The sequence below is a fragment of the Homo sapiens genome, chromosome 2, assembly GCF_000001405.40.
Source record: "Homo sapiens chromosome 2, GRCh38.p14 Primary Assembly".
Taxonomy (NCBI): Eukaryota; Metazoa; Chordata; class Mammalia; order Primates; family Hominidae; genus Homo; species Homo sapiens.
In genome coordinates this window covers 241,485,751-241,512,638 of record NC_000002.12, presented here as the reverse complement: position 1 = coordinate 241,512,638, position 26,888 = coordinate 241,485,751, and the positions used below count along the sequence as shown (strand labels likewise).

The 26,888-nt window shown below is 56.0% G+C and overlaps 2 protein-coding genes and 1 long non-coding RNA gene across 26 annotated transcripts in view, besides 6 other annotated features; 1 reads left to right on the top strand and 2 right to left on the bottom strand.

The window, feature by feature from the left end:
* Positions 1–2,743: 2,743 nt before the first annotated feature.
* Positions 2,744–3,767, bottom strand: LOC107985788 (uncharacterized). Its single transcript, XR_001739177.2, has 2 exons — positions 3,542–3,767; positions 2,744–3,201 (listed from the first exon to the last, which is right to left on the bottom strand). It is a non-coding gene; the product is annotated as an uncharacterized LOC107985788 (long non-coding RNA).
* Positions 3,067–19,969, top strand: STK25 (serine/threonine kinase 25). 16 transcript variants are annotated; one of them, XM_011510494.3, is made up of 12 exons: positions 4,055–4,134; positions 4,504–4,633; positions 10,931–11,111; positions 11,843–11,899; positions 12,358–12,466; positions 13,225–13,382; positions 13,465–13,650; positions 13,855–14,000; positions 14,290–14,404; positions 14,952–15,023; positions 16,105–16,241; positions 16,938–19,969. In XM_011510494.3, exons 3-12 carry the CDS (start codon positions 11,073–11,075, stop codon positions 16,975–16,977), a joined length of 1,059 nt encoding a protein of 352 aa, XP_011508796.1. In that variant the 5' UTR covers positions 4,055–4,134; positions 4,504–4,633; positions 10,931–11,072; the 3' UTR covers positions 16,978–19,969. The 16 variants fall into 16 exon arrangements, with proteins under 16 accessions (XP_011508797.1, NP_001269234.1, XP_011508796.1 ...); NM_006374.5 differs by having other exon boundaries at positions 10,931–11,161; NM_001282306.2 differs by having other exon boundaries at positions 4,055–4,196.
* Positions 3,651–4,420: a silencer, noted in NCBI's record as "silent region_12540". NCBI's record gives its function as "represses an Ori minimal core promoter by ATAC-STARR-seq in GM12878 lymphoblastoid cells {active_cell/tissue: GM12878}" and the evidence as "EXISTENCE:reporter gene assay evidence [ECO:0000049][PMID:35858748]".
* Positions 4,701–4,750: a silencer, noted in NCBI's record as "silent region_12539". NCBI's record gives its function as "represses an Ori minimal core promoter by ATAC-STARR-seq in GM12878 lymphoblastoid cells {active_cell/tissue: GM12878}" and the evidence as "EXISTENCE:reporter gene assay evidence [ECO:0000049][PMID:35858748]".
* Positions 5,181–5,230: an enhancer, noted in NCBI's record as "active region_17427". NCBI's record gives its function as "activates an Ori minimal core promoter by ATAC-STARR-seq in GM12878 lymphoblastoid cells {active_cell/tissue: GM12878}" and the evidence as "EXISTENCE:reporter gene assay evidence [ECO:0000049][PMID:35858748]".
* Positions 6,386–6,922: an enhancer, noted in NCBI's record as "H3K4me1 hESC enhancer chr2:242445132-242445668 (GRCh37/hg19 assembly coordinates)". NCBI's record gives its function as "activates a minimal SCP1, AML or CMV promoter by ChIP-STARR-seq in primed H9 embryonic stem cells {active_cell/tissue: H9 hESC(primed)}" and the evidence as "EXISTENCE:reporter gene assay evidence [ECO:0000049][PMID:30033119]".
* Positions 17,798–26,888, bottom strand: part of FARP2 (FERM, ARH/RhoGEF and pleckstrin domain protein 2) — a 138,557-nt gene continuing 129,466 nt past the window's right edge. For 6 of the 9 annotated variants that reach the window (XM_011512233.1, XM_024453259.2, XM_011512234.2 and 3 more), the window contains 7 exons: positions 22,908–22,928; positions 22,595–22,677; positions 21,460–21,578; positions 20,960–21,123; positions 19,603–19,710; positions 19,195–19,346; positions 17,798–18,631 (listed from right to left, as the gene is read on the bottom strand). In XM_011512233.1, the coding sequence (XP_011510535.1) occupies positions 18,514–18,631; positions 19,195–19,346; positions 19,603–19,710; positions 20,960–21,123; positions 21,460–21,578; positions 22,595–22,677; positions 22,908–22,928 (765 nt within the window). In that variant the 3' untranslated portion in view covers positions 17,798–18,513. Of the gene's footprint in view, positions 19,347–19,602; positions 19,711–20,959; positions 21,124–21,459; positions 21,579–22,594; positions 22,678–22,907; positions 22,929–26,888 lie in introns of all 9 variants that reach the window. The other 3 variants (NM_014808.4, XM_047446510.1, XM_047446511.1) reach the window with 2 other exon arrangements.
* Positions 21,398–21,913: an enhancer, noted in NCBI's record as "H3K4me1 hESC enhancer chr2:242430141-242430656 (GRCh37/hg19 assembly coordinates)". NCBI's record gives its function as "activates a minimal SCP1, AML or CMV promoter by ChIP-STARR-seq in primed H9 embryonic stem cells {active_cell/tissue: H9 hESC(primed)}" and the evidence as "EXISTENCE:reporter gene assay evidence [ECO:0000049][PMID:30033119]".
* Positions 21,914–22,427: an enhancer, noted in NCBI's record as "H3K4me1 hESC enhancer chr2:242429627-242430140 (GRCh37/hg19 assembly coordinates)". NCBI's record gives its function as "activates a minimal SCP1, AML or CMV promoter by ChIP-STARR-seq in primed H9 embryonic stem cells {active_cell/tissue: H9 hESC(primed)}" and the evidence as "EXISTENCE:reporter gene assay evidence [ECO:0000049][PMID:30033119]".

Genomic DNA, 26,888 nt, shown 5'->3' with positions numbered 1-26,888 from the left:
TCCTAAGAGTTGTGGTGACAGAACCTAGGGGTGGTGCTGTCTGAAGGCTCACCTAGGCTGGAATTCCATTTCCATTCATGTGTCTGACATTGGGGTGGCCACACAGCTCAGGGCTGGCTCTGCATCTACCTTTGTGTGTCTTTTCCACATGAGTTTCTGGGTAGATTTCTTAGGCTGACTTCTCCAAAAGTAAGAATCCAAGAGCCTGCGGTAATTTTAATCTATTGTCATTTTATCTCCTGATAGCCTTTTCTTGGGCTGTTTCTTGAAGCATTCTGTGTTTGTTCTAGGAATGTTCTAACGAGGTTCCAGAATGCTCTTCATTTCTCTGTGTTTCTATTTCTTCTCACGTCATCTTTCTAATTTACGTTGGTCTCTATTGTTCATGTTGAAAGTCTTCCCAAATACCCAATATCCTTAGCAGTCTTAAAGAGACTAAGACTGAGGTGTTAGGAAGCTCACAAGGAGTTTGCATTCAAAAGCAGGACTTGTCAAGCGCTGGGCTTTGCTGTAGAGACTGTGTAGGAAGCCCACTCTCAGGCCAGCCTAAATCCCACCTTACAGGGGTGTCTTTTTCTGGAATACCCCCACATTATTTATGCTAGGAAACCCTGTTGCTGTATGATTTGTGTGTGTGAGGGGATGGAGGGATGAGGAGTGGGAAGCTGTTGACTCATGCACATACCTGTCTCCATGGTGTCTCTGCTGTCGACCTCCTCTCCCCCAGCTCCAGCCCCTCACCTTTCCAGGGCTCTGTATCCAATGGAGGGGGCTCAAGTGAAGGCTTCTTCCCCCCATTTCACTGTCACCAAGCTTTACCTCTGGACATTTGTGGCACTCACCTGCTGGGAACCCACTCCTTTCTCTGAACAGTTTCAGGGTTTAGCCTCCCTTCCTGAGCCCCTTTTGACAAGTTATCAGGTCCCTGGTAGGGAAAGAAGAACAAGCTCAAGTGCCCGATCTCTTATCTTAATCAGAAGGGGAACCCAGTTCTAATCCAGATGCTGCTATGCTGTCCTCTTTCTGGGTTTCATTTCCTTGTCTGTCAAACCAGAGGGTGGCTTGGCCAACTCACACCTGACCCAGGTTGACACAAAGTCCAACTCCAGCTTCTCTCCACTCCTACCTGAATTCCCAGCAGCATACAAACAGGACTCAGGAGACCTGGGTTCAATCCTGTCTTTGCCATATTCTGGTTGTGGCCTTGGGCACGTCCCTTTACCTCTTAGTTATCCCTTGCCTGCCTCGGAGGGCTGTTGCAGTCACCAAGTGACTGGACCTGAAGGTAAGCTGCCCAAGGGGCTCAATTGTGAGTGTTCCCTCCTCCCACCCAAGGTCAGCCTTGTCAATAATAAACACAGTGACTCTCTGAGCACCTGCCAAGGGCCAGGCCCGCCACATACGGTGTTATTCTCACAATCTACAAGAAAAGTACTATTAGCGCCATATTCCCAAGGAAGAAAGTGAGTGCCCAGAGAAAAAACTAAAATTTCTTGGAGGTGAAAAATAGAGACCAGGCTCAGTGGCTCACACCTGTACTCTGAAAGCACTTTGGAAGGCTGAGGCGGAAGGATCACTTGAGCTCAGGAGTTTGAGAACAGCCTGGACAGCATGGGGAGACCCCGTCTCCACAAAAATTAGCTGGGTGTGGTGACATGTGCCTGTGGACCCAGCTACATGGGGAGCTGAGGTGGGAGAACTGCTTGAGCCTGGGAGGTCGAGGTTGCAGTAAGCCAAAATTGCCGCACTGCATTCCAGCCTGGGTGGCAGAGTAAGACCTTATCTGGGAAAAAAAAAGAAAGAATCACTGAAAAGAAAATTTTTATATGAAAGTTGAAAGATAAAACCGAAGAATAAGGCCGAGCGTGGTGGCTCATGCCTGTAATCCCAGCACTTTGGGAGGCAGAGGTGGGCAGATCACGAGGTCAGGAGTTTGAGACTAGCCTGACCAACATGACCAACATGATGAAACCCCGTCTCTACTCAAAATACAAAAATTAGCCGGGGGTGGTGGCGCACGCCTATAATCCCAGCTACTCAGGACGCTGAGGCAGGAGAATCGCTTGAACCTGGGAAGCGGAGGTTACAGTGAGCCAAGATCGCACCACTGCACTCCAGCCTGGGAGACAGAGTGAGACTCCGTCTCAAAACAAACACACAAACAAACAAAAACCCCGAAGAATAACAGAAGTATACAACAACAAAAAAGAAATGGAAAACAAGAGAAACGGGATGAAGGGCCTGGAAGGTCAATGCAGGAAAAGACATGGTGATGATCACGTCCGGACGGCAGCTTAGCAAGACAGCAGCCAGGAGCAAAGGGTTAACAATTGGCCAAAAGCAGGCAAAGGCTGAAAAACTCTTCTAGGCACTTTTATTAATTTGTTTTTTGAGGCAGAGCCTTGCTCGGTCTCCCAGGCTGGAGTACTGTGGCATGATCTTGACTCACAGCAACCTCCAACTCCCAGGTTCAAGCGATTCTCCTGACTCAGCCTCCCTAGTAGCTGGGACTACAGGCACGCACTACCATGCCTGGCTAATTTTTGTATTTTTAGTAGAGATGAAGTTTCACCATGTTGGCTAGGCTGGCCCCGAACTCCCAACCTCAAGTGATCTGCCTGCCTCAGCCTCCCAAAGTGCTGGGATTACAGGTGTGAGCCACTGCTCCCAGCCTCTTCTAGGCACTTCGGAAAAGTGCAGCGATTACTGACCACACGAAGGCCAGAGATGCAGCAGGCATCTATTTACATGCATTAAATACATATATTATCTTCATGCATTTACACATTCATTCAACAAACATTACTGAGCGCCTGCCGTGGGCTGGCATGGTCCTGGGCACAGCTCCGCTTGCAGGAAGCCCACTTTCTCCTGGGGAGTCAAAGCACAAACAAAGCCAAGTCAGTACGTAAAGAAGCAGGGGTGATGAGAGATGCGGACCCAGGAGGGGTTCAAGGGGCTGTCCTGGACGCATGACAGGGAAGCATAGCTTCTTAAAGGACTCGGCAGTGCACCATGAGAAGACACGCACCAGGGAGCAGAGAGAAACGCCAGAACCCTCTCGAAGAAGGAGGGATGTGAGGAGGTCAGGATAGTCACCTGTGCTGAGCCATCATGGAGAGTGAGGGCCTGTAAGGGTGGACACAGTATGCAGGAGGGACAAATCTTCCTCACCGGACAGGTGGGGATCCCTGCGGTGCACTAGGGGAATGCACACAGGGGGCACTATGACCTGGCGGCCCACGGGGCACGGGGACGCACCAGGTAGCCTTGGGATCTGCAAGTCCCTCCCGGACCCTGGGGAGTGCCATGACGGCTTCCAGCAGCAGTCACTGTCCTGGGCGCGTCCCGCGCTCTAGCCCAGGTGGGTCCCACAACGGTGTGACCAAGGACGTCCTATGACCACCCCTTGACAGGTAAGGAAACTGAGGCAGGAGAGGCGAAGCAACTCGCCCAAGGAATGGGCTGTGCCGGTAGCTTCTCCAAGGCCTGGTGCGCCCTGGCCTGTGCGCGTGATCCCGGGCGGGGTCTCAGTACGAACAGGGGCTTCGCGATGTGGCCAGCGCGGGCTTATCTCCGTGCCGTGACGACAAGGCTAGAAGCCTGGGCGGCCGCGGTGGATCCTCGTGGCGAGGCGGGGAGGGCGCCGGGCCTCACTGGCCCGCTCGAACCAGGGCTGCGCAGGGCAGAGCCCAAGGGAGAGGGCCGCGCGGCCGCCGTAACGTCGGAGACGACGCCTGGCAGGCGCCAGCAAACGCAGAAGACCCGCGAGGGCGAGGCAGGGAGGGCGCGACGCGACAACGACCACGTGCCCCGCCCGCCCAGGCGCGCGGCCTGCCGGGAGACGCAGTCCAAACCTTTCGGGAGCAGGACTAGGGGTCCCAGAGAGCCTCGCGGCGCGCATGCGAGCCCCGGCCCCCTCTCGCGCAGCCTGCCGGGACTTGTAGTCCAACGCCAGCAGGCTTCCGGGCCCGGAGTGGGCGGTGGGACTCGGGGTCCCAGAGAGCCGTGCGCGGGCCGCGACGCCGAGCACCGCCCTCGCCGTCGCCTCCGGGCTTTCTCCGGTCGCTGCCGCCACCACCGTTGCTTCGCGGGCTGGGAGGCCCGGGGTCCCCGGGCGAACAGAGGCTGCGGGTGGGAGCCTTCGCGGGCGCTGCAGAGCGGGCCGGGGGAGGCCGGGATGGAGCCCCGCGGAGGTGGGCGCGCTGCCGGGCGGGGCGCTTGCGGCGATTGGGGAGGGGGCAGAGGGAGGGGCCCGGGGCGGGGCTCGGTGGCGGGGACACCGGGGCGGGGGCACCGGGAGGAAGCTGCCTTGGAAGAGGTGGGGGCGGCGACGGGAGGGGCGGCGAGCCCCCGGGAGCCTGGGCGTTAGGCCCGGGCGTGGCGGGGCCCCGGCGGCCTGGGGGGTCTCCTGGGCCCCCCCCCACCCATGGAGCCCGCCGCCCCGGAGGTCGGTCTCAGATGACTGAACTGGGCACCGAGCGCCCCTGGTGTCCCTCGCAGTGGACTGACGCCGCAGGGGCGAGCTAGCCGGCTCCGCGCCTCTCCGCGGGATCCAGACGCCTCCTGGGGCTGCTGGCGGAGGGTCTGAGGCGGCGCGGCCATGGCTCACCTCCGGGGATTTGCCAACCAGGTGAGAAGGGTGCAGGTCAGGAAGACTAGCGGCCTCTCACCGAGGGGCTCCAGAGTCTCCTGGGGGTTCAGAGGGGAGCGCCACGCCGGAGCGGGCAGTGGGGTGAGGGAAGGAGCGCGCGTCGTGCGACCAGCGGAGCCGTCCTGAGGTGGGCGCAGGGCGGCCCCGGGGCTCTGCCGTGTGCCTGTGGCGTTTTGCGTGGCAGAAGCTCGCAGGCCTCTAGAAACCGAGCCCCTGGTGGCTCCGCCTGTGCGAGGGCGGTGGAGGTGCGTGAAGAGACACCGGCGCAGGGACGGGGCGCTGCCCCCAGCGCGGGGCGGGAACCTCATGTCAGCATCCGAAGGCAGTGGAAGGTCGGGGGCCACCCTGCGGCCTCGGCCTGGGCCGCGGGTCATTCTGGCCGTGTTGGGCTGGGCAGGGGCTGTAGGGGAGACCCTGGCGGGCGCTGAGGGGCTGAGATTGTGGAGAAGCAGATCTGAGTGGCCGGTGTGCAGGGAAAGCAGAGAACACGTGTGTGCTTTGGCCCAGGGGAGGGTGAAAAGGCTGCTCTGTCAGGACCGTTTAACCCCTGCGACGGGCGGTTGCCCGAACATGAGACTCATCTTTCTTCTTTAAAGAAGTCGTTTCCACTATGGAGCCACCTTTAAGCGTCTGGTGGGACAGCCTCGGAGGGAGCCACTACGGCGAGCCCTTAGCCTGGAATGAGGACCAGCTGCTGGTGCCAAAGGGCTTGCCGGGGAAGGAGGGTGGGGTCAGCCAACCTGGGGCCTGGGGACTTGCATTCTCTACCCCTCCCCACTTTTTTGACTCTGGCCGCTGGGTTTTCTTACATCTTAGCTGTTCGGTTTTATTCTCCTTGATGCCTTGGCTCTACCTAAGGCGTTGGAATCGCCGCTAAAATGTGTGGCCCTCCTTGTTCACTCCTATGTGCTGAATGGAGAGTTGGGCCTGCAGTGGAACAGGAAGGGCGTCTGTTCGCGTAGGGGCAGGAACTGGAGTCAGGGCTGCTTTGGAGGAAACCGGACCAGCCTAGAGACCCGGAACACCATGTGCAGCTGTTGGGCCAGGCAACCTGGACCTGCGTGGTCACAGATGAGACTGGGGCTTGCTGACTGTTGCTGAATTAAGCTAACAGATTTTTGGTTTGCTTTTGGCATTCTGTATCTGGTAACTTACATGACTAAGGTGCTGGGAGAAAAATCTGCCACCAGTTTATTTTACTTTATTTTTATTTTTTTGAGACGGAGTTTCGCTTTTGTTGCCCAGGTTGGAGTGCAATGGTGCAATCTCAGCTCACTGCACCCTCTGCCTCCCAAGTACAAGCGATTCTCCTGTCTTGGCCTCCCAAGTAGCTTGGATTACAGGCATGCGCCACCATGCCCAGCTAATTTTGTATTTTTAGTAGAGACGGAGTTTCACCATGTTGGTCAGGCTGGTCTCAAACTCCTGACCTCAGGTGATCTGCTTGCCCTGGCCTCCCAACGTGCTGGGATTACAGGCATGAGCCACCGCGCTCGGCCACCAGTTTATTTTTAAGAACTGCAGAAATAACTCCTTTGGGTCACAGGATGAGAAATTGGAGCTCCGAGGTGCCCTGTAACTGTGTGCTATTGGTTCTTGGTGCGATCGCACACAGGGAAGGGAGTGCGGGCACATTGGAGAAGGGATTCCAAAGGTAGGAAGCTCCTTTTGTCCTTTTAGGGATCCCTTTGTCCCAGCCTGGATGATGAGAGACTTGACTTCATATAGTGGCAGAAAACCTGAGGGGCTGTGGTTTTCTCCTGAGATGGTTGCCATGGTGTCCTGTGGACCTGTGGGGCAGCCCCTTTGTGGGAGAGTGGGGCGCGTTCCCCCCATAGCCTGTGCTCCTGCCTTAGACTTCTCCCCTCTACCTGGCCAGTTCCTGCCTGGCCCTGGAGGGCCCGAATGGCTGTGGGGTGCCAGAGCACTGTATCACCACTCAGCTATGTGTGCTGGGTCATTCCCCTTGTTTTGTGGGGCAACACTGACAGCAGACACATTGGCAAGTGGAGGCCCCAGACCTGGCAGCCCCAGGGCTAATGTGGAGAACAGGTGTCCACCGCTCGAGTCAGCTGAGTGGCCCGAGTGATCATCCAGGCCACAGCTGCTGCTACATCCAAAAGAGGATTCGCAGCCTCCAGGCCAGGGGCCCACTTACCCTTTCTTCTCCAGGTGGGGGTGGGGATGGCTTGCCTTGGCTTGGCCTGCGATGTCATTGTAGGGCCAGGATCACAGCCAAGAGGGTTCCTGTCACACAGTTTCTGCTTGGGCTGATGAGCCCTGGCTCTGGCTTAGGGGTCCGCTGTGCTCCCCTGCTGTGAAGCAGTAGAGGTCTGAGTGCCCACCCAGGGGTTTCCCTACCGGGGCTGCTGTGATGGAGCAGATTCAGCTCCAGGCCCTGTGTGGAGAGCAGCATGGCCTCAGCAGGGAGCAGGGAGTAGAGCAGGGCGGGAGGACGCGTCATCCAGAGAGGCCTGAAGAGTCGGAGGGGTGGTGGTGCTGGGTAATGCTGCCAGGTCATGGCCCTGCTTTCTCCAGGCCCTCTCTCAGGCCACCTTAGACAGGAGTAGATGGGAGGACACAAGCTCAGGGCACCAACAGACCTCTGGAATCCCCAGGAGGACTCCCTTGGGGTCTTTCCGGGTGCTTGGGCAGGGTTGGGTTGAGGCTGAGGCCAGGCCTACAGGCTAACGGCTCGGTGGAGCAGCGTCCCAGGGCCCCGAGTAAGCGTTGATGGGCTGAGCAAACAGGGAGGATTTGACAAGGTGGCGTTGGGCCTGCTGGAGGAGGAGCAGGCAGAAGAGGGGCTGCTTCTGCAGATCACCTGAGGTCAGGAGTTCGAGACTAGCCTGGCCAACATGGTGAAACCCTGTCTCTACAAAAATTCAAAAAAAAAAAAAATTAACGGGGCATGATGGCGGGTGCCTGTAAGTCCGGCTACTCGGGAGGCTGAGGTGGAAGAATCGCTTGAACCTGGGAGGCGGAGGTTGCAGTGAGCCGAGATCACGCCACTGCACTCCAGCCTGGGCAACAGAGTGAGACTCTATCTCAAAAAAAAAAAGAAAAAGAAGAGGGGCTGCTTCTTAACCTTGTCCTGCACCTGGCATCCAGGACTGGGCTAGGAACGGGTGGTCCTCCACCAGAAATGGAGCAAACAGGGAGGAGGAAACGGAGATGATGCTCTCTATGGCAGGAGGGTGATATTTTAACACTGACTGCTTACCTATGACAGCCAGTGGGCTGATGAGCTTATGCTTTGACATGCACTTGTGGGCCCAGCTACTCAGGAGGCTGAGGAGACCAGCCTGGGCACACAGCGAGACCCCCCATCTCAAAAAAAGATTGCATGTTCTGGGTTGACTTTCCTTTCAGATAGGGGCTGGTTCTCACCTCATCTGTGCCACCCACCCTCAACCCGGAGACAGCTGAGCACCTGTGACTTGTCAGCTTTGAATTTTTCCTGGCTTCTCTTTAGAACACATGGTCAGCAGCAGTGATGGGGCTGGGGGCAGACACAGCTCACCTTGACCGGAATGACCCCAGGCAGTACTCAGCTCTCTCTATCCTGCCGAGTTTCTTGACCTTGGCTTTGGGGACTCCTGGTAGCAGGTGGGCTCAAGGCACCCCCTGCTGTTTCCTCCATGGGTACTGGCTTTAGGACTGGGCTGCTGTACTGATGAGAGAATGAGAAAGGTCACTTTTGACTCGACCAGCTGTCTCAACTGGCCAGACCTTTGGGCTAAGCAAGGGTCTGTGTGTACACTGCAGCTGGCCTGCTCTAGCTGCTGCATGGAGGCCACCTGCACACCCCCGGGCCTTGACAAGCCAGCCTTGCAGGGAAAGGTTAGGTGGCCTCTGGCCCTCCCCTAACTGCCTTTCCTTCCCCAGAGTTCCAGTCACCTCGAGGTCTGGCACTCAAAAAGGGATGTGCAGCGGCATGTTTCAAGGTGGGGGCCTGTGTGCCGCCCCTTCCACCCTCCTGGTTAGGAACCCTGGGAGGTCAGCTAATTGGCAGTTTCACACGGAAGTGTCGCCTCAGGCTGGTGCGATGTCCAGTTGGCTTCAGCCAGCTCCTCCGCTGGGCTTAGGCCTGGGGTGGACCCAGCACACAGGTGTCCAGGGGGTGAGTGTGAGGGCTGTGTGTGGTGTACCCCATCCTTCTTGGTGGGCACGGTCTCCGCAGGCCCAGGAACGTGCAGGGCACCCCCACCCAAGGACCTGTCCTGTCTTCAGTGTTTTTTTTTGTGGCATAATTAGTCGTTTTGCCTTTTTTTTTTTTTTTTTTTTTGAGACGGAGTCTTGCTCTGTCGCCCAGGCTGGAGTGCAGTGGCACGATCTCCGCCTCCTGGGTTCATGATATTATCCTGCCTCAGCCTCCCGAGTAGCTGGGACTGCAGGCGCCCACCACCACACCCGGCTAATTTTTTGTATTTTTTAGTAGAGACGGGGTTTCACCATGTTAGCCAGGGTGGTCTTGATCTCCTGACCTCGTGATCTGCCCGCCTCGGCCTCCCAAAGTGTTGGGATTACAGGCGTGAACCACCGCGCCCAGGCTGTTTTGCCTTTTTATGCTCTGCCACACTAAATTGGCATCAAGACCCTTGATGTTGTTAGGGGAGGGGCCGTGCGTGGTGGCTCACGCCTGTAATCCCAGCACTTTGGGAGGCTGAGATGGGCAGATCACCTGAAGTCAGGAGTTCGAGACCAGCCTGGCCAACATGGTGAAACCTTATCTCTACTAAAAATACAAAAAATTAACTGGGAGTGGTGGTGCATGCCTGTAATTCCAGCTACTTGGGAGGCTGAGGCAGAAGAATCGCTTGAACCCAGGAGGCAGAGGTTGCAGTGAGCCAAGATTGCACCACTACACTCCAGCCTGGGTGACAGAGTGAGAAGCCATCTCAAAAACATTTAAAAAAGGGTCGAGGCTTGAGGACACACCTCTGCTGGCTTCCCCTGGACTCTGGGCCTGGGCCACAGACCCCAGGCACCTTCCACACCACTGGCTCAGAAACTTTTAGGCATTGCTTCTTTAAATCTGAGGACTGTGTGAGGCAGCTTTCTGCATCAAGAAAGCATCAAGTTTCTAACTCCGCGCTGGTGTAGCTGTCAGGAGGACTTATGGAGGGGTGAGGGAAGCCCTTTCTAAATACGTGACTTTCAGGAGTGGAGGAGAACTTGGTTAACACATACTGAGGTTTTTTGTTTTTGATGAGGTTTTTTTTTTTAAATTTTTTATTTTTTTGAGACCTAGTTTCGCTCTTGTTGCCCAGGCTGGAGTGCGATGGTGCGATCTCGGCTCACCGCAACCTCCGCTTCCCTGATTCAAGTGATTCTTCTGTCTTGGACTCTCAAGTAGCTCGGATCACAGGCATACGCAACCTCGCCCGGCTAATTTTTTTTGTATTCAGTAGAGATGGGGTTTTACCATGTTAGTCAGGCTGGTTGCGAACTCCTGACTTCAGGTGATCAACCCGCCTTGGCCTCCCAGAGTGCTGGGATTTCAGGTGTGCACCACCAAGCCTGGCCTGATGAGTTTATTTTTTAGTAATTTCAGATTTATAACAAATTAAGTAAGAGCTCCCAAATCCCCCCTCACCCCCAGGGGCCATTCACCTATTAACATCTGTCACGGGGCTGGCATGTTGTTCGGGTTAGATGAGGCAACCTTCATGCCGTGTCATCACCTAAAGCTCCTGTTTCCAGCAGGGTTCATCGAGTTGGCCTGGCCTCTTTATACTTTCTGGGGACTTTTTCCCTTGCATGGAAAGTTCAGTTTAGGTTTTTTTGTTGTTGTTATTTGTTTGTTTGTTTGTTTTTTTAATGGAGTTTGATTCTTGTTGCCCAGGTTGGAGTGCAATGGTGCGGTCTTGGCTCACTGCAACCTCCGCCTCCCGGGTTCAAGCAATTCTCCTGCCTCAGCCTCCTGAGTAGCTGGGATTACAGGCATGAGCCGCCACGCCCAGATAATTTTTTTGTATTAGAGATGGGGTTTCACCATGCTGGCCAGGCTGGTCTCGAACTCCTGACCTCAAGTGATCCACCTGCCTCGGCCTCCCAAAGTGCTAGAATTACAGGCGTGAGCCACCACGCCCGGCCAAGTTTAGTTTTTGAACAAAAAGGGAGAAAGGAAGAAACCAGAGAAGAATTGAGGTGCGCTCCCTTGGACTCCCCCTTCCCTACAGGTCCCTTCCTCCCCAGCAGGGCAGCCTCTGCCTGTCCCCCGCCTCTTGTGACCGGCGCTGTCTGCCCTCTGTCCCCGCCCTGGCCCCACAGCACTCTCGAGTGGACCCTGAGGAGCTCTTCACCAAGCTCGACCGCATTGGCAAGGGCTCGTTTGGGGAGGTCTACAAGGGCATCGATAACCACACAAAGGAGGTGGTGGCCATCAAGATCATCGACCTGGAGGAGGCCGAGGATGAGATCGAGGACATCCAGCAGGAGATCACTGTCCTCAGTCAGTGCGACAGCCCCTACATCACCCGCTACTTTGGCTCCTACCTAAAGGTGCCTGTTGTGGGGAGGCGGGGACCCTGCTGGTGCTGTGCCCGGCTCTCTTCCATGTCAGAGGGACTGAGTGACATGCCAGAGGGTGCAAGGCGGTCTTGACGGTTCAGTGCATGCCCTCCGGGAAACTGCCCTGGGCAGGCAGGGTGTGAGCCCTCGTCCACGAGGGTCAGTTGGCTCTAAATGGCCATTGGGACCCACTTGCCTGCCTGTGGTAATGCAGTGAGGGCGCTGCTAGGAGCACTCTGGGGGGCCCCTACTGGCAGTGGTGAGTGGGCCTGTGAGGAGCAGGTGGCTGGTGGTGCCAGTGTCTGGGGTGTAGGGAACGCTGTGGCCATCCTGCCCAGGAGGGTGATGGGTGTGTCGGGTCACATGCTTGCCAGCCATGCCCTCTTCCCAGCCCTGTAGGACTGGATCAGCAGCCTGGTTTTTGATGGGGTCTTGGTGAAGTGGAGTCAGCCACTGCTGTGTGTACTCAACCTGTCCTCTGAGCATCTGTAGCAGTAGTGTGGCAGGAGGGGAAGATGGGCAAGGCCGAGAGAGCCCTTTCCTGTTCAGGGTTCTTGGCAGGGATGGGACCGGTGGGGCCTGGGCCCTGGCTGACTCCGGCCTGTGACTCCCACCCTGGAGCATGCCCTTCCTCTTGCTGCCAAATGCTGATGGGTTTGTCTCCGGTCCCAGAGCACCAAGCTATGGATCATCATGGAGTACCTGGGCGGCGGCTCAGCACTGGACTTGGTGAGGCATAGGCCATGGCAGTGGGGGGTCATGCAGTGTCCGAGTCCCCTGCCCCTCAGACTCATGGGCTCCAGGGGCCACCTCTCGTTTGGTGTCATGGCACGTTAGGTGTTAATTAGGAATCGTCTAAAGCAAAAATGAACTGCCATCTGCACGTCTGCCCAGTTGGTGCTGAAAGGGGTCCTGGCCTGTGGGAGTGGGCGGGGGCAGGCCTGCTGGGAGATGGCTGGGAGCCTATTTTTCTGTTACATGACAGTAAGGTGAGGCTGGTTTATATGCTTTAGAAAGAGCCTCCACCACCCCACTCCCATCTGAAACTTAGTTCTGTTTGGGAAGTAAAGGAACACGAAGCCCCCAGCTATCTGCAGGGACAGCCCTTCCCTGTGAGAGAGGCAGAGAACTCAGGCATTGGGCCTGGGACAGGAGCTGAGGCCCTGCTGTCGCACCTTCCTCTCCAGCTTAAACCAGGTCCCCTGGAGGAGACATACATTGCCACGATCCTGCGGGAGATTCTGAAGGGCCTGGATTATCTGCACTCCGAACGCAAGATCCACCGAGACATCAAAGGTCCTGCTGGGGGTGGATGTGGCTCTTGTAACGTCCTGAGCCCCACTGACCTTAGAGAGGCCGGGGCCTGTGAGGGGCAAGTGGCTAGTGGTGCCCAGGGTCTGGAGTATAGAGAACCTTGTGGCCACCCTGAAACTGAGCAGTCCTGTCTCGCTCCCTTTCCAGAAGATACTACTTGTAACGGTTTCCTTGTACGCTGAGGAAACCAGCTGTGGACTGAGTGTAGGAAAGGGCCACACTTGGCTGGAGTTGTTGGTTCCCTGTGGTGCACGGCACAGCAGCAGGTGTAGAATTGAGTAGCCCCAGCGTGTGGTCTGGCCCTGCTGAGAGCAGACGGGAGGCTGGGCCAGCCCATGGGGAGGGACTTGCCACTGGCAACGAGCCATCTCTGTCATGTAGGGGACGATTCTGGTGGAGCAGGGGGCTTCCTGGCAGGCCCGTGTTGGCTACACCCTTGGTCAGGGTCACCTCTGCGGTAGCCCCCAGTGGGCGAAGTCGCTTGTCGTTGGGATTTGTCGTAAAAGCCAAATGCAGGAAGAGCCCTGGAGCTCGGAGTGGAGCCGTTGGGCTCCTGCTGGCAGTGCCCCTGTGGCCCTAGGTGGCCCTGGGTTTGAGAGTGGCAAGGAGGGCTGAGGTCCTGAGGACAGCCCTGCTGTGCCCTAGGAGGCCAGGTGGATGGTACCCTGGCCCTTCTCAGGGGGCCCGGGGTGGAGCCACGTGGAGCCTGGGATGACGCCTGCCTGTCCTGTGTCAAGCAGCTGCCAACGTGCTACTCTCGGAGCAGGGTGACGTGAAGCTGGCGGACTTTGGGGTAGCAGGGCAGCTCACAGACACGCAGATTAAGAGGAACACATTCGTGGGCACCCCCTTCTGGATGGCACCTGAGGTCATCAAGCAGTCGGCCTACGACTTCAAGGTGGGTGCAGCGGGCGGGCAGGTGCGGGCACCATGCCTGGCTCGGGTGCTCAGGGCAGCAACAGTCCTTGTGTTCTGTCCAGGCTGACATCTGGTCCCTGGGGATCACAGCCATCGAGCTGGCCAAGGGGGAGCCTCCAAACTCTGACCTCCACCCCATGCGCGTCCTGTTCCTGATTCCCAAGAACAGCCCACCCACACTGGAGGGCCAGCACAGCAAGCCCTTCAAGGAGTTCGTGGAGGCCTGCCTCAACAAAGACCCCCGATTCGTAAGGCCCGCCTCTGGCCCGGTCCCTTCTAGACAGGACGTGGAGGGAGGGCGTTCGCTTGGGGTGGGCGGCACAGCCCGGAGGCCCAGGCCCACCAGCCTTGTAGCTGTGAGGGCCCGCCCCGGTCCAGGCTGCCTCACGTTTGCTTCCCTTAGGCAGAGCTTGGCTGGGCCCAGTGACTAGTGTTCCCCTGACCCCCTGCAGCGGCCCACGGCCAAGGAGCTCCTGAAGCACAAGTTCATCACACGCTACACCAAGAAGACCTCCTTCCTCACGGAGCTCATCGACCGCTATAAGCGCTGGAAGTCAGAGGGGCATGGCGAGGAGTCCAGCTCTGAGGACTCTGACATGTAGGGACCTGGTTTATCCTCATGGTGACCCTAGGTGCTGTGACGTGGGTGGTCCCCACTCCAGAAGCAGGGGCGTGGGCCCTGGGGGTGAGGGTGACCAGATATAGTGTTGGGCAGGGACCCCCTCAAGGCTGCAGGACAGGGCCTGCTGAGGCATCAGCTGGACCCCGTGGCCTGGCAGAGCCCCGTCTGGTACCTCGGGTTTCCCTTGGCCGTGAGGTGTGCCCTGAGGCCCTCATGCCTCCTGGCCCTCTCCCCACTGGCCCTGGCAACTCCTCATCCTCTTCAGTGATGGCGAGGCGGAGGACGGGGAGCAGGGCCCCATCTGGACGTTCCCCCCTACCATCCGGCCGAGTCCACACAGCAAGCTTCACAAGGGGACGGCCCTGCACAGTTCACAGAAGGTCTGTTCCTGGCCTGGCCTTTGCCCTCTGTGCACCCCTGGGGCCGTGGGATGGGCTGGATGCGGGACCCAGCTTTGTCCACCCAGTGTCTGGAGCTTGGACAAGGAGCTTGGGAAAGGCAGGGGTGGTCTGAAGCCCACTGTGGCACTAGGCCTGGTGTGGAGACCCCGAGCCCCAGCATGTGCCGGGAAGATGAGGGCCTGTTTGGAGCCAAATTTGTGAGGAGAGGGTGGGAGTCACAGGCCCTCAGAGTCAGGAGAGGGTGGGAGTCACAAGCCCTCAGAGTCAGGAGAGGGTGGGAGTCACAGGCCCTCAGAGTCAGGAGAGGGTGGGAGTCACAGGCCCTCAGAGTCAGGAGAGGGTGGGAGTCGCCCTCAGAGTCAGGCCATCCGGGTGGCTTGATGGTTTTGGGGCCGGCCCTGGACATGTGCCCCGACAGGCTGCTCCCAGCCTCTGTCTCTTCAAGGCTAGAGCCTGGGCAGGGATGGGAGTGCCCTGCCTGTCACCTGCACTGCCCTGCTCACCCTGGGCCTCCACTCCTTTGCAGCCTGCGGAGCCCGTCAAGAGGCAGCCGAGGTCCCAGTGCCTGTCCACGCTGGTCCGGCCCGTCTTCGGAGAGGTGAGGATGGGGCTGGGACTGGGCCTGGAGTCCCGTCAAGGACAAGGCTGTGACACTGTTGCACGGAGATGTCTCCCTCACAGCACTGTGGGGTGGTTTCAGCTTCTAGCTTTCCTGCAGCTGATTGTGGGCTGGGTTTTCTGAGTGGAAGGAGCAGAATCTGCTGCAATGACTCCTTTTGTACTCCCAGACCTGCCAAGGTTCTCTGGGTTCCTAGGGTGACTTTTTTTTCTTCAGGTGCAAACACAGATGATCCTTCTATAGAGAAAGCAGAGAAGGTTTAGTCGGGGTCCATCCCCGGGCAGGTGCCGCCCTGGTTAGTCACGTGACCCTGCATCAACGTCACCTGCTGATGGGCAGTCAGCACCGTCCTCAGAAATGTGATACAGCCAGGATCTGTGTGCCCAGGGCGTGGCCAGCGGGCTTGGGCCCAGGTGTGCCCTCCAGGAGCCCCACCTGGAGCCTGGGGAGGGAGGATGGAGGATGTGGGTGAGAGGTGGTGAAGGCAGGGCCTGCCTGAGGACGGCAAAGGGAGGAGCACGGTCGAGGGACGTTGGCCCCAGCCCATGTGGAGGCCCCAGCGGGAAGCAGCCACTCGGGTCCAGGTCCTGGGCAGCCTGCTGATCCAGCCACAGCCCCCCGAGGGTGGGTGACACCCGGTGACAGGAGGCTCAGATGCTGGTGTCCTGATGGAGGTCAGATCTGGGCCTGGCGGTGCCGTGTGCTTTGGGGGTTTCTGGGCTTCGTGTTTTTGGGTCTGATTAGACCCATTGAGTGGCTTCCATGACCCTCGGCTGGGAGGAAGCCATCTGGTCCCCTCCTGAGAACCGAGGTCCGAGATTCCCCGGAGTGTAGGGGGAAGGTAGGTGCTGTGGGGAAGGACCACTAGGGTCCCCGTTGGCAGGGCAGGGGCAGAGGCTTCCTTGGGCCACCTCACTTCCCGGCTTGCTGAAGGGCTCCCGGGTGTGGCTCCTAGGCGAGAGCCCTGAAGGCCTCCGGCATCACTGTGGCCGAGCAAAGGAGCAGGCTCCCTGAAGGCCTGTCCTGGGGTCCAGGGTCAGGCGTGGTGGTCTTTTCACAGCTCAAAGAGAAGCACAAGCAGAGCGGCGGGAGCGTGGGTGCGCTGGAGGAGCTGGAGAACGCCTTCAGCCTGGCCGAGGAGTCCTGCCCCGGCATCTCAGACAAGCTGATGGTGCACCTGGTGGAGCGAGTGCAGAGGTGAGGGCGGCCGTGCCATAGGGTCGGGGAGAGCACCCCCACCAAGAAGCTGGACGTGGGGTGAGGTCCAGTGCTCACTCGTGGGTGTGGCTGCATTTGGCACTACATGGGCTCGCTTCACTCTGGGAAGGCGCGGCGTGGCATCCTCTTCCTTGTTTGGACCCAGCTCACAGGGCCATGGAGACTTTGGGGCTGGAGAGAGTGGGCAGGGCCTTTCCAGTCTAAGGGTCTGAGGCAGTGTCTCAGGGTCCCGGCCTCAGTGGCCACATGGCTGTCCTCAGCTGGCCTCTGCCCCTCCACCTGGTGGCTCCCGGGAGCTACTCTGACACGCTGGTGGCAAAACGTCAGAGCTGCCCCTGTGCTGACTCGAGTCCTTAGCAAAGAGACAGGGCAGGACAGATGCTGGGCCCTCCACCGCCCAACGGACTTAGGGTCCAACCGCCATGCCGCCGGCAGATGCGCCAAGTCCTGGTCCACACACAGGGACCCCTTCCCGGCGCCCCTGGGCAGCAGCTCTGGGGGTGGGGTCTGGGCCAGTCATTGCTGCTCCTGAGACCCTGTGCATTGGGGACACCTTCAGACCCACGTGGTGCGGTGGCTTGTCAGGGCTGCCACCGCAGACTGCACACCCAAGAGGCCGTCAGGAGCCTGGGCACAGAGGTGCACGCACGCAGCAGTGGGCTCTTCTCTCTGCAGGTTTTCACACAACAGAAACCACCTGACATCCACCCGCTGAAGCGCACTGCTGTTCAGATAGGGGACGGAAGGTCGTTTGTTTTTGTTCTGAGCTCCATAAGAACTGTGCTGACTTGGAAGGTGCCCTGTGCTATGTCGTGCCTGCAGGGACACGTCGGATCCCGTGGGCCTCACATGCCAGGTCACCAGGTCACCGTCTCCTTCCACCCCTGCAGTGTGCTGTTGTGCACGTCAGGGACGCTGTTCTCTATGCCCACTGCCCTCCTCCCTCTCCTGGCCCAGCAGTATTGCTCACGGGGGCTCCAGCCGCCGGCGTGGCCCTCATGAGCTACGCCTGGGTCTTCTGCAGACTCATGCAGCCCTATGGCCGCTCAGACCAAGGCGCAGAGCAACTATCAGGGCAGCTCTGCCTCCTCCTCCCATGAGGTGGGGAGAGGCAACAGGGCAGCCCCCAGAGGAGTGTCCTGGCCGCTGTCCTCCCGGGGCCCATGATGGCCATAGATTTGCCTTGTGGTGTTGGATCAGGTACTGTGTCTGCTCATAAGTACTTGTGTCATCCAGAATGTTTTGTTTTTTAAGAAAATTGAATTACTTGTTTCCTGAAATATTCTGAGGTTAATATGTTAGTTTTCATAGAACATTGAGAGGCCCCTGCCACTTTCAATAAAGACCTGACTTGGAGACATGCAGGTGTGTGTGGTGGGGCCCGGGCCATGCGGGGCTGCAGCGTCCCTGGTCCCGAGTCCTCATCACAGCACGCAGAGACGGCAGCCCAGCCCCCCTTCGAAACTTCCCTGTGACGGATTCCTGGGCTCTGCTTGGCCCACCGGAAGAACAGAGCAGGCAGAGGAGAATGCAGGTGGGGAGATGCTGTTTGTTTATTTTTAATCAAATGTGTGTGAACAAAGCAGTCGCCCATCTACTTCCCGTTGGAAGGAATGCTGGGCAGTAATAAATTAGACGGCCCCACCCTCCCAGGGCACAGGGGGACTTTGGTTTCTGCTTCTCTAGAGGTACATGGGGAACAAGCGTGGCTTCTGCCAGACTTGTTTAGCTGTGACCTGCAGGGCAGGCCCCTGGGGCTGCCACTTGGTTCACCAGATGGAAGGTCAGCATGGCTGTGCCACGCTTGTCTGAGAGGGTCCTGGCAGTGGGTACGCAGGGTGTATGGCAGGGCCTCTTTTCCAGTGCTTGCTCTAGGCCAGTCCTCGGCAGGGACCCTGCTCTGGGGAGAGAGGCAGGGTGTGCCCAGGCTTTGGTCCGATGCCGAGAGCACTGCTCAGGCCTTGTCTGCGTCTTTGAGCCAGGGGCCTGGGAGCTGTGGCTTGAGCGGCTCCGCGCTCAAGACTCGCACATTTTTCCCAGGGCCCCAGATAGCTGCTGGCATGCACTAGGTCCTGGGTGGGGGGATGAAGCCCCTCCCAGATGTTACATGAGGCCCACCCACACTGCTGGTGCCAGTGGGGATCCAGTGAGACCACAGCCACTTCCCATCTGTTGAGAAGCCTCAGGACAGAGGTCACCTCTGTGTCCTGCTGTTCTTTGTAGTTGTGTCCAAACCTGGGCAGGTTGAGCGTCATTCCTCCTTCCCCCTGACCATCCCCTCCAGCCCTGAGGAGGGTTGGGGGCCATCCTGCACGATGCTTGGGGCCCTCCCGGCTGAGCTGCTGGCCCCCTGGATCACCTCCATCCACCTGGAGGAGAGGGCGGCCATCAGACCAGTGAGCCATCTTGTGCTCAGACACTGTCCCAAGAACAACCCAGGATATGGGACAAGCAGGACAAAAGAAGGGTTAAAAACCTGGGGCCGGGTGCGGTGGCTCATGCCTATAATCCCAGCACTTTGGGAGGCTGAGGCAGATGGATCACTTGAGGTCAGGAGTTCGAGACCAGCCTGGCCAACATGGTGAAACCCTGTCTCTACTAAAAATACAAAAATTAGCCAGGCGGCGTGGCGTGCATGCCTGTAATCTCAGTTACTCAGGAGGCTGAGGCAGAAGAATCGCTTGAACCCTGGAGGTGCAGGTTATAGTGAGCCAAGATTGTATCACTGCACTCCAGCCTGAGTGACAGAGGGAGACGCCATCTCCAAAAAAAAAAAAAACAAAGCATTGCTGTTTTTTGGAAATGCTGGAAGCATTGCTCAGCCCTTCCTTTCCAGGGCCCAGAAAACTTGCCTCCACCACCATGAGTAGAAATGGGAGCTGAGCGGACATCGAAATGGGCAGCTGACCAGGGCTGCCTCCTGCAAAATTACCTTTCAAATGTGTACTTGCTCTCAGCCCGGAAGAAGTAGACGTGGGATTTGAACTGGAGCTTGAAAACATAGTCTTTGTGTATGCCATCGGCCTCCCTGGGGATGCTCACGCTGTAGCCCAGCAGCGGGAGGCTGGCCAGTGGGTAGTCATCCTGCAAGACAGCATAGGGACACGGGTTCCAGGGGCTGGGTTGCCACAGGGAATGCCCATTCCTCTGCTACCTGCACAACGGTGGCACGTACAAATGCCCACGGGCCAAGGGAGCCAGTTTCCCTGTTCACACAGCACAGGGTGTGTGGGCAAAGCATGGGAGGGCAGAACCAAAATACAAAAGGGACACAGGTGAGCAGGGTTAAGTGTCTGTCTGCTAGCATCACCTGCATTGGGCTCCAGTGAAACTCCAGTACCTGATGAGTTTTGTAGAAGAACAAACAGAAGTTGGTAAAGACGACCCAGAGCTTCTGCCAGCCATGACTGTTTTTGAACTTTCTTAGCAGATATCCTGAAAGCTGGTTCTGTCAATAAAGGAAAAATGCAGGTGCATTAACCAGCACCCAGGACCCCTTGTGGGAGTGGGTTTGCTCCCCAAGACTAAGCCTCTGCATGCTTTCTCCAGCTGAGGCCTTGGTTTTACCTCTGGACTGCTATGAACAGCAGCTTTATCAGTACTTAAGTCCAACAGAAGCATGTTAAAAACCTAGAGTGACATTCCAGGCACCAAGTAAAGTGAGTTCCCTTTCCCTGTGCACAATAAAGTCAGTGTTCAGTAACCAACCATCCACAAACCCATCCAACAGCCAGAAGAGAGAAGATACCTTAAGAGACAGTACATTGAGCCAAGTCTGGAAGGTTCTTTAAAATGATGGGTGGGGGAGAGGCAAGTAAAGGCACACACAAGATGCCCCACTGCAGCCCTGTCCCTAAGCATGTGGCATCTGTTCTGCCAGGATTAGGCATGGCTTTGGCGCTGGAGTGGCTGGGCTCATGGGGCTCACATGAGCCTCCCGCCTTCAGGGTGGTATTCAGGGGTTGCACTCTAAGATGGCGGAGCGGGCCTAGCTAGGACCCTGCTTAGATCTCAGGTGTCCTGGACTGGCCATAAGCTGGTGGGCCCAGGTCAGGGACCTGCTGCACCCTGACCTACCCAGGGTCATCAGGGGAGAGGCTCGGGCTCAGCCCCCTCACGGGGGTGCTGGGGTAGCTCCTGAGCCCCTGCCCAGCCGATTGTGGCTGGGGTGAATTATGGGGAGACAGCAAAAAAGACAAGAGCTCTGGGTGGAGTAAGACAGCAGGCTTGGGGAAGGGTGTGGGGGCACCAGGCTGAGGAACCTGGTGACCCACAATGGCAGACCGGGCCCATGCAGTGAGATAGAGCTGACAACCTTCTATGGCAGGGTGCCTGGGCAGAGCCTCGAGCTCCAAGCCCGAGGTGAAGGGTTTTGGAGGCACTGGGACGGGGGGCTGCAGGGGATGTGTCTGGGAAGGCTTTTCTCAGCTCCACTACACACCAGCTCCAGGCCCTGAGGACACGCCCCGCCTGCTGGACTTCATCAGACACCAGACCTGAAACACCCTTTTCAAAGAGGGCTTGACTGGATGAGGGGCACTTTCCATACCAACTTCTACCAAGGGGAGAGTAAGAGGCAGTCCTCTGGGGCCAAGCCTGCCTGCTGGTACCCTCCTGAGGTCCCCTCCTCAGCAGCCAAGTGCAGAGACAGCTGGGAACATTCCAGATGCACTGAGGTGGTGCTCATGCGGTCGTACCTCGACAGCTGCACTGTGGTCTGCCCTGGACACGCTGGTGTTCCGGTACCAGCACACGTGCATTGTGGTGTTGGCCCGGTGCTGGCCATGCCCCTCCAGGGAGCTGCGGACACCCCGAGCATCATCTTCTGACTCCTGCTCCAGAGATACCTCGTTGGGGGATCCTGGGGAGAAGTCAGCAGCGTCTCAGGGGGAACCCCCTGTGGCCTCTGCTTGCCAAATACTTCCACCCCTTGGGTTCCTCTCGGGGGTCCTGGGGAAATGGGGAGCCCTTGGTGCTAGGCCAGCTGCTGGCTGAGAGCAAAACTACAGGTGCTTCTGCCAGAGCAGCTGATTGACACCTCTTCCCGCCCAGGCATGAGGCGTAGCCTGGAACATTCCTTGTGGAAGGGGATTGTGTGGGAACTTAGCGGGCCAATGGGGACCAAGGAAAACAGTTTCCAAAAAAAGCCTCCTTAGGTGTAGTGGAGGTCTCCTGGGGGGTTGTGGCCAGCACTCACTGGGGGGACGAGTGCACACAGTGCGGCCTGGCAGTGCAGGGGCCGTGTCACCGCCACTCTTGGCTGCTTGGATCGCGGAGTTCAGGTCCAGCATCCACTTCTCTTTCTCCAGCCGAGTGCTGCAGGGAGAAGGGCAAGGCTCAGTGGCTCTGCTCTTCCTTGTGTAGGGCCCCAGCCCTCAAGGGAGGGCGAGCCGTCAGGGCACCTGTTCTCTCACATTCTGCTTTGTCCTGCCTGGTGAGAGGACTGGGAAACGTGTCCCCTCCAGCGAGAATAGCAGGGAGGAGAGCTGGGAGGGACCTGCATCAGCCTGACCTCCAGGGTGCTGTGACAGGGTTGTGGGTGCCAGGGCAGGGCCCCGGTCCTAGAACAGGGGGTCTGCAGGGGTATTTGTTCCTGAAATGATGTTCTCTACATCTGTGATGCTGAAATGCAAGATTGGCCCTGGTTCATGATTAAGTGAGCATTTCCTGGTGGGAACTGAGTGCCCTGTGCTCTGATGCTGGCCAGGGCGCTGCAGAGTCAGAGCTGAGACTCCTCACAGAGCACAGTGTGGTGCTGGTGACCATGCAGGGGCCCCTGCATCCTGGCCGCCAAATGAGCTCAGTGTCATCCTTCTGTTGATCTTATCTGGGGAGGAGGGAGCTGTTTCCACTTGATTCTGTGCCATAGCCTGGGCTGCCTCATGTGAGTCTATACCACACTGGGACTGGGAGGCAGTGTTTGGCTGGGCTGGGTGTAAGCTGCCCTGTTGGGGCTTTGACCACTAGCTGCTGGCACTTCTTGACGTGAGGGTTGGGGAAGCGCCTGTGCCCTGGGAGACCACAGGAGCCTGCCCACTCACCCGTCCTGTCTTTGGAGGCACTGTGAACCGGAGGGCAGAGGGAGCGGCTCCACAGCACTGGGGCCTGCCACTTGTGGGGTGTTGTCAGGTTGGCAAGCAGCCCTGCCCCTGACAAGGGCGAGGCTGCTCCTTTGGTTGTGTGACTTGGAAGCAGAGCTCAGAGTCAAAGGGGGCACAACCCCATGAGGCTACATGGCTCCTCACAGCTCAGAGGACTCAGAGGCTCATGGCGAGGAAGTCCCCACCCCTCCATCCAGGGCTGCTCAGGATGGAGACATGGAAGACCCTTACCTGGCTGCCACCACGATTGTTTTCTGAGCCGCGTAGATGGTGAAACAGTGTGGAACAGACCACTCGTTATCACTTTCTTCCACCTGTGGGTGGGAGAAACGGTCCAAGTCTTGTGGCCAAGAAGGAACTGACAGCCTAAGCCTGAGCAGGACACAAGGTGACTGCTGGCAATGCTAGGTGGGGCTTGGAAGCCCAGTGCTGTCCAAGTGCACACAGACTCTACAAGAGGCCAAGGAGGACACTGGTATCCCTGCGCCATGGCAGCTGCACCCCAGGGGGTGAGCCATGGGCCAGAGGGCACCCAAATACTCACCGGGGGGTCCAGCACTATTAGCTGAAAATCAAGCAAAGGAAAAAATGTTGAGCATTTTGATTATCCAAAAGGGAGTTGGACAATTCATTTATGAACCAAAGACCAAAACCTAACAGAGCTAGATTCAAAGAAAACCCACTGTGGATTAATTTTAATTTTAAGTAGTTAGATGAAATAATTGCAAAATAAAATATTACCAAATCTAATCTAAAAGCATGTAACAAGGAATTGTCCCACGATCAAGTAAGGTTGTTTGGGGAATGCAAGGATCGTTCGGCATTAGAAAGCTGATTGATAACATTCATCCTATCAGAAGTCAAAGAGAAAAAGGGAAATCCATTCTCTACATGCTGAAAATGCCTTTGCCAAAATCCAAGGTGTTATTTCTGATAATACCTCTTAGAAACAGAAGGAAACTGTGTTAACATGATAAAGATGATCTTTTCAAGCCAAGAGCCATCATCCTTCCCTTAACAGTCAGGAACGAGGGCCAGTTCTCTGTCCCCAGGACCAGCCAGTTACCAACAACTCCACAGAATGGACAGCTTCCCTGTGCAGAGCCTGATACACCAACCAAGCCTCTCACTGGACATCAAAAATCTGAATCAACATAAGCAAGGGCAGGCAAAACATTGTCCAGATGTTAGTCTTCCCGTAAGTTAACACAAAAATTTAATGCAATTTCAACTGAAATCTCCATGGTGTTTTTGTAAGGAATTTGTCCAATGACTTAGAAGATTACTTGGAAGAATTAAATGCTTGAGAATAGCAAAGAATCTTTTTTAAAAGGAGGCAGAATAAGGGATGGAATGTGTTCACCAAACAGTGACTATCTCATATGACACCACTAATGAGAGAGAGTGGACTGATGCTGGACAGACAGGAATGGAGCAGAATGCCCAGAAAGAACTCGAGTGCAAAGACACAGGCTTCCATTTGATAAAGTCTGAGATCAGTGAGAAAATGAAGGATTCAACAAATAATGGGGAGAAATGTTACATCTCAATCTAATATCTATCAAAACAAATTCTAGGCCAGGCACGGTGGCTCACACCTGTAATCCCAGCACTTTGGGAGGCCGAGGCGGGCGGATCACAAGGTCAGGAGATCGAGACCATCCTGGCTAACACGGTGAAACCCCGTCTCTACTAAAAATACAAAAAATTAGCCACCTGTAGTCCCAGCTACTTGGGAGGCTGAGGCAGGAGAATGGTGTGAACCCAGGAGGCGGAGTTTGCAGTGAGCCGAGATCGTGCCTGGGCACTCCAGCCTGGGACACAGAGCAAGACTCCATCTAAAAAAAAAAAAAAAAAAACCAAAAAAGTAAAAAAACAAATTCTAGGGAGATTAATTAAATGAGAAAACTGAAACCATTAAAAGGTGCCAATATAATATTGGCATGGGGAAGAACTTCCTGAGCCCATACTAAGGATAGAAACCCTCAAGGAAAAGACAGCCAGAGCTGACCCTGATAGGCCCTGATTTTTCAACTTTATGATGGTGTGAAAGTGATAAGCATTCAGTAGAAACGGAACTTCAAGTGCCCATACGACCATTCTGTTTTTCACTTCCAGTTTGGTATTCAACAAATTATGTGAGATATTCAACACTTTGTTATAAAATAGGCTTCATATTAGATGATTTTGCCCAACTGTAAGCTAATGTATGTTCTGAGCACATTTAGAGTAGGCTAGGCTGGCTCACGCCTGTAATCCCAGCACTTTGGGAGGCCGAGGCGGGTGGATCACGAGGTCAGGAGATCGAGACCATCCTGCCTAACACGGTGAAACCCCGTCTCTACTAAAAAATACAAAAAATTAGCCAGGCGTGGTGGCGGGCGCCTGTAGTCCCAGCTACTCAGGAAGCTGAGGTAGGAGAATGGCGTGAACCCGGGAGGTGGAGCTTGCAGAGAGCCAAGATGGCACCACTGCACTCCAGCCTGGGCGACAGAGCGATTCCATCTCAAAAAAAAAAAAAAAAAAAAAGAGTAGGCTAGGCTAAGCTATGACATCAGAGAGGTTAAGTGTATTAAATGCATTTTCTTTTCTTTCTTTTTTTTTTTTTTGAGAGGGAGTCTTGTTCTGTCACCCAGGCTGGAGTGCAGTGGTGTGATCTCGGCTCAGTGCAACCTCCGCCTCCCAGGTTCAAGTGATTCTTGTGCTTAGCCTCCCGAGTAGTTGGGACTACAGGTGCCCACCACCACGCCTGGCTAATTTTTGTATTTTTAGTAGAGACAGGGTTTCGCCCTGTTGGCCAGGCTGGTCTTAAACTCCTGACCTTAGGTGATTCACCCACCTCAGCCTCCCAAAGTGCTGGGATTACAGACGTGAGCCACCGTGCCCTGTTAAATGCATTTTTGACTATACTATTTTCCTCTTACAATGGGTTTATCAGGGCATAGCCCCATCATAAGTTGAGGAGTGTCTGTTTCAATTCACACCTTCAACAAGCATTTGCTGGGTTCCCTATATGTGCCAGATGCCATTCTAGAGTAAGAGAAACAGAACCCATCAAGATGGAGTTTAAATTCTACAAGGTAAAACTAAATTGTAGGCAAAGTAAAAAGCAGTTACTGAGAAAATAATTTGTGACTTAATAGTGTTGGTGAGCATTATCATATAAACATTTCACTAATGTGTACAAAAAACTCACAGACCAATGGAGACCAGAGTGACCAGCACGCTGAGTGATTCCTGAGAGGAAAAGCATGGAATGCCAGGACACAGGGGCCAGGCTGGCCTCACCGACAGTCCGCAGGGATGCAAAGTGAAATGATGGGGCTGCTCGATGGGGCTGCTTACCTTACCCACTTGGGAAGAGTAAGAGAGACAGGTGCCTAGCACTTTCCATGGTGGAGGGAAAGATGCATGTTTAGACCTAGCTCCTGCAGGTGGGAAGGTCAGCTGGCGCAGGTGCTCCAACAGCAATTTAGCAGGAGTGCCCAAGGCCGTAAACACCTTTGCTCAGACAAATCTACATTTTGGAATTGATCTGAAGGACATAATTAAGGATGTGCAGAAAGACAGAGATCCAACAATGTTACAGTCCTCAACAACCAGCCACAGCCAAGCGTCCAGTGACAGGTGACTAGTTAAGTGAACTGGGGCTGCCATGAAAGGAAAGGAAAACCAGTGTCCTGACAAAACAGCCCGTGGGTGATGGCAACCATGCAGCAGATGCCTGCAGCCATCACTGCTGAGTGGGTACGATGATAGAGTTCTTTTTCTTGTTTCTTTTCTCTGTGTTTTTTTTTTTTTTTTTTTTTTTTTTGAGACGAGGTCTCACTCTGTCACTGGGGCTGGAGTGCAGTGGTACGATCACGGCTCACTACAGCCTTGACCTCCTGGGCTTAAGTGATTCTCCCATCTCAGCCTCCCAAGTAGCTGGGACTACAGGCACACACCACTTTTGCTCAGCTAATTAAAAAAAAAAAAAAAAAAAAAAGATTTTTGGAGATTTGGCTTCGCCATGTTCCCCAGGCAGGTCTCAAACTCTCAGCTTCAAGCGATCCTACCATCTTGACCTCCTAAAGTGCTGGCATTACAGGCGTGAGCCACAGCAACTGGCCAGTGATGAGTGATTTCTGTCTTATACTTTCAATTATTTTTTTCTATAATAAAGGTGTAATTTTTAAAAGTATACTTTAAAACAAATGGGGTCTGCTTCCGGTGGTGGCAGATGAGCTAATTCAAACTGACCTCTTCTTGCTGAGGGCCTGAGAAGTGGAATTAAATTTTACAAACACCTGCCTGAGGGTTTTGGCGCTCATTGTCAGGAGGAGGCAGTGCAGAGGGATAAGACCCTTGAAGAAAGAACAGGGAAAGAGGACCCCAGGGAGGGAGGACCCCACTGGGGGAGGAAGGACTCCAGGGAGGGAGGACCCCAGGGAGAGAGGATCTCAGGGAAGGAGGACCCTACTGGGGGAGGGCCCTGGGGGAGGAAGACCATGGGGAGGGAAAATCCCAGGGAGGGAGGACCACA